This window comes from Homo sapiens, chromosome 17 (assembly GCF_000001405.40).
Source record: "Homo sapiens chromosome 17, GRCh38.p14 Primary Assembly".
Lineage (NCBI taxonomy): Eukaryota > Metazoa > Chordata > Mammalia > Primates > Hominidae > Homo > Homo sapiens.
The window spans coordinates 73,557,578-73,570,159 of record NC_000017.11 but is presented as its reverse complement, the minus strand read 5'-3'; the positions used below and the strand labels follow the sequence as shown (position 1 = coordinate 73,570,159).

General features: G+C 49.0%; 1 protein-coding gene across 5 annotated transcripts in view, besides 6 other annotated features; it reads left to right on the top strand.

The window, feature by feature from the left end:
• SDK2 (sidekick cell adhesion molecule 2) overlaps positions 1–12,582 on the top strand; it is a 310,062-nt gene that overhangs the window by 74,286 nt on the left and 223,194 nt on the right. The window lies entirely within an intron of this gene.
• Positions 2,160–2,748: an enhancer, noted in NCBI's record as "NANOG-H3K27ac-H3K4me1 hESC enhancer chr17:71563551-71564139 (GRCh37/hg19 assembly coordinates)". NCBI's record gives its function as "activates a minimal SCP1, AML or CMV promoter by ChIP-STARR-seq in primed H9 embryonic stem cells {active_cell/tissue: H9 hESC(primed)}" and the evidence as "EXISTENCE:reporter gene assay evidence [ECO:0000049][PMID:30033119]".
• Positions 3,339–3,928: an enhancer, noted in NCBI's record as "OCT4-NANOG-H3K27ac hESC enhancer chr17:71562371-71562960 (GRCh37/hg19 assembly coordinates)". NCBI's record gives its function as "activates a minimal SCP1, AML or CMV promoter by ChIP-STARR-seq in primed H9 embryonic stem cells {active_cell/tissue: H9 hESC(primed)}" and the evidence as "EXISTENCE:reporter gene assay evidence [ECO:0000049][PMID:30033119]".
• Positions 3,929–4,519: an enhancer, noted in NCBI's record as "H3K27ac hESC enhancer chr17:71561780-71562370 (GRCh37/hg19 assembly coordinates)". NCBI's record gives its function as "activates a minimal SCP1, AML or CMV promoter by ChIP-STARR-seq in primed H9 embryonic stem cells {active_cell/tissue: H9 hESC(primed)}" and the evidence as "EXISTENCE:reporter gene assay evidence [ECO:0000049][PMID:30033119]".
• Positions 5,495–5,995: an enhancer, noted in NCBI's record as "H3K4me1 hESC enhancer chr17:71560304-71560804 (GRCh37/hg19 assembly coordinates)". NCBI's record gives its function as "activates a minimal SCP1, AML or CMV promoter by ChIP-STARR-seq in primed H9 embryonic stem cells {active_cell/tissue: H9 hESC(primed)}" and the evidence as "EXISTENCE:reporter gene assay evidence [ECO:0000049][PMID:30033119]".
• Positions 8,682–9,288: an enhancer, noted in NCBI's record as "H3K27ac-H3K4me1 hESC enhancer chr17:71557011-71557617 (GRCh37/hg19 assembly coordinates)". NCBI's record gives its function as "activates a minimal SCP1, AML or CMV promoter by ChIP-STARR-seq in naive H9 embryonic stem cells {active_cell/tissue: H9 hESC(naive)}" and the evidence as "EXISTENCE:reporter gene assay evidence [ECO:0000049][PMID:30033119]".
• Positions 9,289–9,894: an enhancer, noted in NCBI's record as "H3K27ac-H3K4me1 hESC enhancer chr17:71556405-71557010 (GRCh37/hg19 assembly coordinates)". NCBI's record gives its function as "activates a minimal SCP1, AML or CMV promoter by ChIP-STARR-seq in naive H9 embryonic stem cells {active_cell/tissue: H9 hESC(naive)}" and the evidence as "EXISTENCE:reporter gene assay evidence [ECO:0000049][PMID:30033119]".

Here is a 12,582-nt window from a genome sequence, read left to right as displayed (position 1 = left end):
CAAGCTCAGCAGTCCCAGTCTCTCCCCAAGAGGGGCTCTGGGGGGCCGTCCCGAGGGGCTCTGGGGAGAGTCATGGGGCCGCCTGACTCTCTTCCTTCCCCAGCCGAAGCCTGAAAGAGTTAGAGCGCTGAGGTCCTGCTCCTCATCCTTCACCCAGAGTAAGTGTCCCGTGTCCATGGCTGCAGCCTCCCGTAACTCAGGACCTGCTGCAGAGAGGCTCCTCGGCCGCTTTTATCACCCCCATATCTTCTGGACCTGAGAGTGGTGACAGCCGTGTAGCTCCTAGAGATCAGGAAAAGACAAGGAAGGAAGGGTACAGGCTTACAGATCAAGGCTCGGAGCTCCGTTCTGAGGACCTTTGCGGGGGTTCTCATCGCCCATCTACCAATGTGAGTGGGATTGACCCAGTTTTCTTTTCTCGTCTGATCTTTCCCAGAGTGCAGCATAGTGTACAACAGTGACTTTCAATCCACATCAGACCTTAAAATCACACAGAGGGGCTGAAAAAAAAAAATTCCAATGCCTGGATGCAGCCCTGACTAATTCTGATTTAATTCGTTGGGGGTGGGGATTGCTTTTGAAAGCAATCCCCACCCCCATCCCTCACCACGTGATTCCAATGTGCTGCAAGGGTTAATAGGCACGAATACAAAATAACATGGGGCCCAGCACGGTGCCTCACGCCTGTAATCCCAGCACTTTGGGAGGCCCAGGTGGGCAGATCACCTAAGGTCAGGAGTTTGAGACCAGCCCAGCCAACAAGGTGAAACCCCGTCTCTACTAAAAATACAAAAATTAGCTGGGTGTGGTGGCGTGCGCCCGTAATCCCAGCTACTCAGGAGGCTGAGGCAGGAGAATCACTTGAACCTGGGAGGCGGAGGTTGCAATGAGCTGAGATGACGCCATTGCCCTCCAGCCTGGGCGACAGAGTGAGACTCCATCTCAAAAAAAAAAAAAAAAGAAAAGAAAGAAAGAAAGAACATGGGCTTTGGAACTAGGCTTTCAACCCCAGCTCTATCTCTTACTACTAGCTGTGTGATCTTAGGTGAGTTACTCAACATCTCTGAGCCTTAGTGCTGATTTTGGTTTTTAAAAAATTAATAATAAAACAACTTGGAGACAGCAGTTCCTGGTTCTTGTGGTTACTATGAGTGTAAATTAAGAAAATATACACAAAGGCCATTAGCACATAATAGGTGCTTTTTCAACCTTTGCCCCCTGTGTGCACTTTTTAGGGAGACGATGGCAATATTGTCATGTGATGTATCACAAAAGTACATGAAGCCTGCAGAGAGGTGGGCCCTGCTGTCCAGCGGTTTGAAGATAAAGCATGTTCCTTCCTTCTGCAGTCGCCTGTTTAACGACTCTTCTCCTTGTATTTATCCTGCTTGGGGTTCATTGAGCCTCTTGAATCTTCAATTTGTCTTTCTCCAAATTTGGGGAATTTTCAGCCCTTATTCCTTTAACTACTTTTTATGCATTCATTCACTCCTGACTCTTCCTAGACTTCATGTATAATATATGTTAGACCTTCATCTCCAGTCTGAGGCTCTGGGCTTTTTTTAAAGTCTTCTTTTCTGCTGGTTCTTCAGGGTGGGTATTTTTTATTGATCTATTTTCACATTCATTGACTCTTCTGTTCTCATCAATCTGCTGTTAAATCTATCCAATAAATTTTTAATTTCAGATCTTGTATTCAGCTTGTATTAGTCCATTTTGCATTGTTATAAAGGAATACCTGAGGCTGGATAATGTATAAAGAAGAGACGTGTATTTGGCTCACGGTTCTATAGGCTGTACAGGAAGCATGGCACTAGCATCTTTCTAGCGAGGGGCTCAAGAAGCTTCCACTCACTGGCAGAAAGAAAAGAGGGAGCAGTTGTGTCACATAGAGAAAAAGAGAGATAGAGGGTGCAAGAGAGAGGGGGAGAAGGTGCCAGCCTCCTTTAAACAACCAGCTCTCTTGTGAACTAACAGAGCGAGAATTCACCCATTACCGTGGGAAGGGCACCAAGGGATCTGCCTCCCAACACAAACATCTCCCCCAGGCCCCATTTCTAACATTTAGGATCCGGTTTCCACATGAGATTTGGAGGGGACACATATCCAAACCATATCATTCCACTCCTGGCCTCCTAAATTTCATGTCATTTTTACATTGTAAAATATAATCATTTTTTTCCAATAGTCCTTGAAAGTCTAAACTCATTTGAGTATCAACTCAAAAAGTTTAAAGTCTCATTTGAGACTCAAGGCAAGTTGTTTTAAATTTATGAATGTGTAAAAGCAAAACCAAGTGATTTACTTTCAAGATACAATGGTGGTACAGGCATGAGGTAAACATTTTCATTTCAAAAGGGAGAAATCAACCAAAAGAAAGAAATGACAGACCCTACCCAAGTCCGAAACCCAGCAGGGCAGGTGTTAAACCTTAAAGCTCTGAAATAATCTCTCTTGACTCCATGTCCCACATCCTGGGCACACTGGTGTGAGGGTTGGGCTCCCAAGGCCTGGGCAGCTCCACCCCTCTGGCTTTGTAAGGCACAGCCCCCCTGGCTGTTTTTAACGGGTTGGAGTCTGGTGCCTGTTCATGTTGAGGTTGTAAGCTGTTGGTGGCTGTACCACGCTGAGGTCTGGAGGCTGGTAGCCCCATTTCCACAGCTTCACCAGGCAGTGTCCCGGTGAGGACCCTGTGGGAGCTTCAACCCCACGTTTTTGCTTGACACTGCCCTAGCAGAGGCCTTCTGTGGGGGCTCCGCCCCGTGGCAGGCCTTGTCTGGGCACCCAAGTTTTTTAATACATCTTCTGAAATCTAGGAGGAAGCTGCCAAGCCTCTTTCACTTTTGTATTCTGTGTGCCTGCAGGCTTCACCATGTGGAAGCTGCCAAGTCTTATGGCGTATGCCCTCTGAAGTGGAGCCCTGAATGGTACCTGGGGTTCTTTGAGCCCTGGCTGGAGCTGAAGCAGCCAGGGATGCAGGGAGCAGCCTCCTGGGGCCGCAGAGGGCAGCAGGGATCCAGGCCTGGCCCCTAAAACCATTTTTTAGGCCTCTGGGCCTGTCATGGAAGGGATTTTCCCCAAAGACCTTCCAAATGTCTTCCAGGTCTTTTTTTTTCCAGTGTCTTTGTTATTCGTGCTTGACTCCCGTTTAGTCATGTAAATTTATCTAGCAGGAGGTTATCTTACAAGTGCCTTGGGTTTCTCACTGGAAAGGCACTTTTGTTCTCTACCTCATGGCCAAGCTGGAAATTTTCTAAGTTTTTACACTCTGCTTTTTTTTTTTTTTTAATTATAAGTGTTAAATTTAAGTCGTTTTTTTGTTCTCATATCTAGTCGTAGGAAGTTAGAAGCACCCAGGCCACATTTTGAGTGCTTTGTCGTTTAGAAATTTCTTTTGCCAGATATCTTGGGTTATTACTTGTAAGTGGTGTCTCTCATAAAGCCCTAAGCCATAGACACAGTGTAGCCCAGATTTTTATTAAGGCATAACCAGGGTGATCTTCACTCCAGTTTTTAATAAGTGTTTGTTTTCCTCTGAAACCTCATCAGCCTGGGCTTTGCTATCTATATTTCTATCAGGACTTTGGTTACAACCATTTAACTAGTCGCTAAGAAGTTCTAAACTTTATGTCATGTTTTTGTCTATTTTTGAACCCACCAAACTCTTTCAACCTTTGTTCATTACCTAATTTCAAAGCTGTTTCAACATTTTCAAGTATCTTTATAGCAACACTCCACTCTCAGTACCAGTTTTCTGTACTTGTCTGTTTGCATTGCTGTAAAGGAATACCTGAGACTGGGTAACACACACACACACACACACACACACACACACACACATATATATATAAGAATTTTATTTGGCTTATAGTTCTGGAGGCTGTACAAGAAGCATAGTGTTGGCACCTGTTTCTGGTGAGGCCTCAGGAAGCTTCCACTCATGCCAGAAGTTGAAGGGGAGAGCAGATGTGTCAGATGGAGAAAGAAGAAGCAAGTTAGAAGGCAGGAGGTGCCAGGCTCTTTTAAACAACCAGCTCTTGGCTGGGGGCAGTGCCTCACGCCTGTAATCCCAGGACTTTGGGAGGCCAAGGTGGGTGGATCATGAGGTCAGGAGATTGAGACCATCCTGGCCAACATGGTGAAACCCGTCTCTACTAAAAATACAAAAATTAGCTGGGTGTGGTGGCATGCGCCCGTAGTCCCAGCTACTCAGGAGGCTGAGGCAGGAGAATCGCTTGAACCTGGGAGGCGGAGCTTGCAGTGAGCTGAGATTGCGCTATTGCACTACAGCCTGGCGACAGGGCCAGACTCCATCTCAAAAAAACAAACAAACAAACAAACCAAAAAAAGAAAAAACAACTAGCTCTCTAACAGAACGAGAGCTCACTACCATGGGAAGGGCACCAAGCCGTTCATGGGGGAACCCCCTTACCCAAACACCACCCGCTAGACTGCACCTCTAACACTGGAGATCGCATTTCCACATGAGATTTGGAGGGGATAAATACCTGAACCATATTAGAGATCTAGAATTTTTATGTGGTTCTTTTTATGCTTTTTATTTTCCTACTAAGATTTTCTATTTGTTCATTCATTATGACCACATTTTTCTTTATGTCCTTGAGGATAGTTATAATAGCTGTTTTAAAACAATCTGTATTGATTGCCTTTTCTATTGTGTAGGGATCACATTTTCCTGTTTCTTCATGTGCCTAGGAATTTTGGAATGTATCCTAGATGTCATGAATTACATGTTTTTTAGCAAACAGGTAACTTCCCTGCACTCAAACTCCAAACTTGCTCTCCCCTGTGGTTGACAGTAGCAGAAATCTCTGTTCAGTCCCTCTAGCCTTTGCTGGGCTGCTTGGGATTGGCCCCATGTGTACATATTTCAGAGATCAGCCTAAGGTTTGGGTAGAATTTATATACAGAATTCAGGTCTCCTCCCTCTGGCTCTCCTCCTTCTGGGATTCCTGCCCTCAACTTCCAACTGCTGCGGTTGCCGCAAACTCTGTCCTCTAGTTGTTTAAGCCAGTAAGACTGGATTTTCTATCTGGATTTAGCCACCCCACTTGGCAGGAGCTAGAGCCTGACCTCAAACAAATACCCATAAATATGGGAAGTTCACCCAGTGCCATTTCTATCTTCTAAACATTGACTTCCCTCTAGTGTCAGCCTGCTTTTGGTTGTTCTCCAATGCCTCAGGCAGTTGTTTATTGCTATCTGGGGAAAGGGTTGACCTAACTAACAGCAGCCACTCCACCCTTACCAGATGCCCAAAGCCCAGCTGTTTAGTCTTTTGTTTTGGGTTTGTTTTTGTTTTTTGTTTTTTTTTCAGACAGAGTCTCTCTCTGTCCCCCAAGCTGGAGTGCAGTGGCGCGATCTCGGCCCACTGCAACCTCCGCCTCCCAGGTTCAAGCGATCCTCCTGCCTCAGCCTCCCGAGTAGATGGGACTGCAGGTATACGCCACCATGCCCAGCTAATTTTTGTATTTTTAGTAGAGACAGAGTTTCACCCTGTTGGCCAGGCTGGTCTCAAACTCCTGGCCTCAAGTGATCCACCTGTCTCGACCTCCCAAAGTGCTGGGATTACAGGCGTGAGCCACCATGCCCAGCCCCAGCTGTTTCGTTTTAATGTCATGGGGAGGGAGCAGGGCAGGACACCAGGCACCTCTCTGGGTCACACGTACATCCAGTGGAATTAGTTAAATCAGTTGTTCAGATGACGACACAGCCCAGGGGCTCAGATGCAGGAGAGAATACACACCTGCCTCACTTTAAGCAGAAATGGACTCAAGTGGACTTTATACTCTAAGCCAGTAGTGTCCAGTAGAACTTTCTGTAGTGATAGAAGTATTCTGTTGTCTGTGCTGCCCAACATGGTAGTCACTAGCCATATGTGGCCAGTGCTACTGAGAAACTGAATTTTTAATTTTATTTAATTTTAATTAACTTAAATAGCTATATGTGGCTATTGGTTACCGTATCGAACAGCTCTAAGTAAATCCAAGAAATTGAAGTGTGAATTTACAGAAAAACGTAAAGCAAGGTGAATACAAAAGAAGTTTTCAAAAAGATTTACTGGGGGCTGGGCACAGCGGCTCATACCTGTAGTTCCAGCACTTTGGGAGGCCGGGTGTGTGAAACAAGGTGGGTGGATCGCTTGAGCCTAGGAGTTTGAGGCCAGCCTGGGCAACATGGCAAAGCCGTGTCTCTACAAAAAATATAAAAAATTAGCTGAGCGTGGTGGCACATGCTACTCGGGAGGCTAAGGAGGGAGGATGACTTGAGTTGGGAACGTTAAGGCTGCAGTAAGCCATGATGGTGCCATCGCACTCCAGCCTGGATGACAGAGGGAGACCCTGTCTCAAAAAAAAAAAAATCAGTGAGAGAAAAAAGAAGACTCACCTAGGCCATTTGAAATGGGATTTCACTCATCTCAACCCTGCCCCCAAAATATGTATACCTAAAATTGACCCTTTCAGAGCACTGTTGTACTACAAAGTTGCTCAATGAATATCAAACTCAGAGATAGATATATTAGAGAATGATTACAAAAGGGCACAAAGATTTTTTTTTAAGAGACAGAGTCTCATTCTGTCTTCCAAACTGGAGGGCAGTGGCCTGTTCATAGCTCACTGCAGCCTCAAACTCCTGGGCTCGTGCAATCCTCCCACATTCAGCCTTCTGAGCAGCTGGGACTACAGCCGTGTGCCACCGCACCCAGCTAATTTTTTATCTTATTTTTTGTAGAGGTGGGGTCTCACTGTGTTGCCCAGGCTGGCCTTGAACTCTTGGCCTCAAGCGATTCTCCTGCCCCCGCCTCCCAAAGTGTTGGGATGACAGGTGTAAGTCACTGCACCCAGCCAGAAATGTTTATAAGTTGTGAATTCCCTAAGATATTTGAGCTATAATGTGATTTATAAAAATTAGATTTGCCTGATACTTCTGGGGGAGGATATTTCTGGTTCGAAGAGAAGTTGACAGTGACTCACTTCATCTTATCCCAGCCTTGCCAGAGGCCATGAGTCTCCTCCATGGTGCGTGCCTGTCCAAGCCTCCTCGCCAGCAATGGCCCGAGGACCAGGGTGGGGCGGCAGGCAGTGAGGCGGTATCAGAGCGGAGCTGTCCTTCCCCTCCCCTGCCTTCCTCCTCCCTTCCAGAAATGGCTTCAAGTGCCCAGGTCCGAGTCAGACTGCCTGGGCTGGTATTCCAGCTTCAGCACAGCCCTACAGCCTTGGTGCTTCTGCGTGCCTCAATTTACCCATCATCAAATGGGAAAAGAGGTATAACCTGCCTCGTGCGGCTGCTGCCAGGATGAAATGAGTTAGCACGTCTTAGTAAAGCTTACAAAACGCAGACGTGGCATTTCCAGCAGCCCGTGGCGCCTTCCGCACAGAATGCCTTGCTGGTAATTTTTCTTTCTTACTTCTTTCTCTGTGCTCTGCTTCTCTCTCCCTTTTCCCCACTCTTTCTGACAGTCCCAGCCCCAGGTCTCATCCTCATCTCCCCATCCTCATCCTTGTCCGGCAGCCTGGACAGACACTCAGAACCACCTCCCAACCCCCTCCCACGCCTGCCTTCTTCTCCCCGCCTCTCCTGTCTCTCTCTCTTCTTTGAGAAGTGCCTGGCCTCATGTTCCCCCAGATTCCACGTGGCTGTTGTTCTCTTGTGTTTTCACCTGGCCTAACTTCTGGAGGGAGGTGGGAGGAACAGGCAAGTTAATTGGATCTAAAAAGAGAACAGATACAAGACCAAGCCCAAAATCTTAGGGGGGTGCTCCCAAAATTCAGTAATTAAACAAATGATATTTGAATGTAATATTTTTAAAATGCAAATTAATGCAAAAATTCCACAAGGAACAAAATATCAAAACGTCCGATAAAGATGGGAACCATCCTGGTACCTTGGAGGCTGTTGCAGCCCCGTTGGAGCGTGTCTTTTTGTAACATTTTGGTGGTGTTCATATTAAATTTTTTGCTTTGACTTGGATCCTTTGAAATATTATATTAAGATGTTATTTGTCTTTTTTTTGAGACGGAGTTTCGCTCTGTCGCCCAGGTTGGAGTGCAGTGGCAAGATCTCGGCTCACTGCAACCTCTGCCTCCCGGGTTCAAGCAATTCTCCTGCCTTAGCCTCCCAAGCAGCTGGGATTACAGGCGCACACCACCACGCCCAGCTAATTTTTGTATTTTTAGTAGAGACGGAGTTTCACCATGTTGATCAGGCTGGTCTCGAACTCCTGACCTCAGGTGATCCACCCGCCTCAGCCCCCCAAAGTGCTGGGATTACAGGCGTGAGCCACTGCACTTGGCCTACAATGTTATTTATCTTGATGACTAGGATTTTTGATAGCCCCTCCTTTATATGTTGCACACAGTCCCTCATTCGGCTCCCTTCATCCAGCCCTGGAACAGAGTCCTTGAGAGCAGAGACTCAATTCAGGGGAGGCCGTACAGGAGTCTGCACAGTGCTCCCCACTCTAAGGCCACTCTACTTGTTCCTGGCCTAGGCGTGTAGCCATTGGAGGCCACCAGAGGCCAGACCTCAGCCACGTACAGGAAGATGGCCCATGACATAGTGATCCCCAGTGCCCCCAAAATGACCCTGTGTCATGTCTCCTAGAGCCCAGGACAACAACCACACAGTATGGCCTGAAGAAGGCGGCTGACTGCTCCTTCTCCATGGCAGCCCAGAGAACCATGGCTTCTTGGCCACAACTCTGCAGCCACGTCACCATTTGGGGTCCTCCCAGGTGGCCCTGTGCTGACGTCTTCTCTCCCTACCCTAGCCCCTTTTGGAGACTTTCCTCTCTACCTCCCACTTCCCCCTAGGTCTCGTCATCATCTGTGCTGAGGCCAGGCTGAGGGCTGACCGCAGGTGGGGTGGGTGGTGTGGGTGGAAGGCATCGGCCCTACCAACCCCGTAATTGTCTCCCTTTCACACCCACCACAGCTCTTTCCAGACCCAAAATAGCTCGCTTGGCCCCTCCCTTGGCCCCATCTCGGGCACAGCTAGAAATGCCAAGTTGTGGAGTCTGGGGTGGAGCACTGGCCAGGTCCCCAAAAGCTTGGGCAGAGTGACCAGGAGCGAGGCTGGGTCTCTCCTCTTTCCTGTACCTGTGGGTAGTGGGGTGAGGAGGGGGTCCTGATTTTGCTGTGCCTGGTCTGGGTGGGATGAGCAGGGACATGCCTGGCCCAGTGGCACACCCCACACGCCCCGCTTCCTGACCTCAAAGAGGATCCTGTCTCCTGCCACAAGTCCTTGCTGGCCCAGACGCCACCCACTGGTCGAGGAGCCTGTGTGCTCCTGAATCAGGATCGGGAGGGGGTGGGCACCAGTGGCTCCATGATCTGACCAACCCTCACAGTAGCCCTGTAAGCAGGGTGTGTGGTCCCCAGGACTCCCCACCAACATGCGGGTGCTTGGATTTTGAAGTTCTGTATTTACACAGCTGGTAAACAGCTGCTGTCCTGACATCTCTGAAATGTTCCATGTTCCACACCTGAAGGGTTAATGAGGCCAGGCGAGGTGGCTCATGCCTGTAATCCCAGCACTTTGGGAGGCCGAGGCAGGCGGATCACTTGAGGTCAGGAGTTCGAGACCAGCCTGGCCAACATGGTGAAACACCGTCTCTACTAAAAATACAAAAATTAGACGCGCATGGTGGCGCACGCCTGTAGTCCCAGCTACTCAGGAGGCTGAGACAGAGAATTGCTTGAATCTGGGAGGTGGAGGTTGCAGTAAGCCAAGATGCACCACTACACTCCAGCCTGGGCGACAGAGCAAGGCTCCGTCTCAAAAACAAACAAACAAAAACAATAAAGGGTTAATGCGAGGCACGGTCGGGTGCAGAGCAGCCTCCAGCCCAGCTCCAGCCCTGCAGCCCAGCTGTCATTTCCATGAACATTTCTGGTTATTCAGTCTTTCTAACAACACCTTGTCTGTCATTTATTGTGGTTTTTGGTGGTGGCACTAGGAGTGACTGCATCCTTTTAGTGAGGAAACTGAGGCTGTAAGAGCTTAGGCAGTTTGCCCTTAGCTGGATTTGAACCTGGCTCTGTGTGCGGGTCCTCCATAGTTCACTGCCTGGTCTCAGTAGGGCCAAGGCAGGACCCTTGGGGCCATAGACCCGCTTCCCGTGGTGTGATGGCCCAGAGGAACCCCCAGCCCTTCATGCCATCCCTCCCAGGGGTGACTGCCACTGAGCCCAGCAAGCTAAAGATACAGAGGAAATGCTTAGTGAGGCCAAGACAACCAGCTGGTGCCCAGCCCTGGGGGGATCAGGCCAGGGACTAAAGGCTTTGAGTTGTCTCAGACCCTCTCTTTCTCTCATCCTATCTCAGCAAGGTTTTTGTGGCATTATGATTCGGGAGCACAGGCATTAGGGGCACTTGTCTCTAGCAGGACAGGGAGGTAGGGAAGAAAAGAAAGGGGGAGGGGCCAACCTTACCTGTCCCATCCTGTTCAGGCTGCAGACCTGCCTGTGGGGTGGCCCTTCGGAGGCTGGAGAGCAGCCACAGTATGGTGACATGTGTGGTATGGTGGCGGGGGCGGGGGGCACAGGGAGCGGAGTGGGGAGTGGCGGATGGACAGAGCTTGCCCCCACACCATCCTGCTCAAGACTTACTGCTCTTATCTCAGTGTTCTTCCCATCTGCCCCTCTCATTCTCCACGTTGGCAGAGAGTTCTCATTCTCAAGAGCCCGCAAAAAGAATTATAATACACATTACAATGTAATTGTTATATCGTCTATTCCATTTATCAACTCCTTGCTTCTTGCCAACAGTCTTGCGTACATTGTCCCATTTCATCCTCATTGCCACTCCATGGCACATGTATCGCCACCATCTCTACTTTACCAGCGAGGAAACCCAAGGCTCAGAGAGGTTAAATAGTTTTCCCAGAGGCAGGCAGGAAGTGTGTGAACTCGGCAGGCATGCTCTGTCCTTCGTGGGTCACTCTGCCCCATTGACTGGAACAAATACTTTCAGGATCTGGGTGTTGCTTGTGGGGCCCCGGTGCAGGCAGGAGAGTCCAGTTGAAATCAGTATTTAGGTTTTTCTTTCTCCCCATAGAGAAGAGAGAAAAGGGGAGGAGATGGTGCATTCTTTCCTTCCCATGGGTGGTTTTCCCATCTCAGCTAACTTTCGTTTGTTTCTCAGCTACCTTTTTAGTCTTTGAAATGAGGCCACGTCCTGGGAGCCAGGCTGCAGACAGAGCCAGGGAGGCAGGCGTTTTCTCTCCAGGCCGCTACTGCAGTGAGTGAGAGTACCTCTCATTCTGTAGGGACTGGTGGCCCACAGTTCCAGAAGCCAGGCAAAGAGCTCCTATCTAGGGGGAGGGTTGAGACCCCATTTGAGAGCCCATCCTCCAGGATCTTGTAGGAGAGACACATGGCTTGGTGCGGGGGCCCTGAAGTTCTGTTAACTTGGGCACTGACTTCCCATGTGAGGTGGGAAAGGCACTCCATCTCATTGGGCCTTGGTTTCTTCATCTGTCTAATGAAGCTGGATTTGAACCTGGCTGTGTGTGGGTCCTCCATAGTCCACTGCCTAATAATGCTGAGCTGTGAACTTCACAGGCTGGATGATAAAAGGAGATACAGTCAATGCAAAAGTGCTTGAACATTTTAAAGTGCCATGAAAAAGTGCTTGAATATTATTCTGTTCCTCCCTCCCTTCCTCCCTTCCTTCCTTTCTTCCTCCCTCTCCCCTCCCTCCCTTCCTCCCTCCCTCCTTCCCTTCCTTCCTAACTGAAGTTAATTTCAGAATAAGGCATCCGAGTCTCTTTCCATCTCTACCTGGGCATGGTCGTTGTCATTAATGGAGAAATTCTGGAAGGTTCCACAGGAAATCTGGCAGAACCCTAGGCAGAGCTAGTCACAGCCACATCTTTTCAGATTTGCCAGCCCCTCTGACATGTGCTCAGTGAGGCTGTGGGGTCAGAGTCTTTACTCCCCATCAATCTACTGGCAGAACTTTGGGGCTGCCCCTTTACAGCAGACCTGCACCCCTCCTGCCTCAGCAGAAGGCGCTTCACTCCCAGGTGGCAGCTCGGGCTGCTAAGTGCCCCCAGGGCACCCAGCCCATGGTGTTGGGGATGGGGCAGGACAAAGGGGGATAGAGCAACAGGGTGAGGAGGGTCCTAGAACAAGAGAGCTGGACTTGGTTGTCCAGGGAGCCCTGGGGAGAGGCTGAGAGAGAGGATGAGTGAATCCAGGTCAATGCCACTGGCTGCCATTTCTACTGCTGAGTCCAGAGGTGCCCATCGTATCACTACCTGGTAGAGGCTGCAGGCAGACCTTACTGAGGGCAGGAAATCTGGACTCACAGAGTTTAAGGAACTCCTGTTAATGGGAAAGGAAATTAGAATGGCAGGGCTTTGACACTTTGGGTTCTCTCTACCCTCTATTGAAAGAGGACCTCCAACCCAAAAACAAGGAAGGAAAGAAAAGAGGGAGATTAGGAGGCAGGGAAAGAAAGTAAGAGAGAAAGAGAGAGAGAGGAGGAGGAGGAGGATGGGAAGAAGAAAGGAAACATTATAATATTTTATCTGGCTGGGCACAGTGGCTCATGCCTG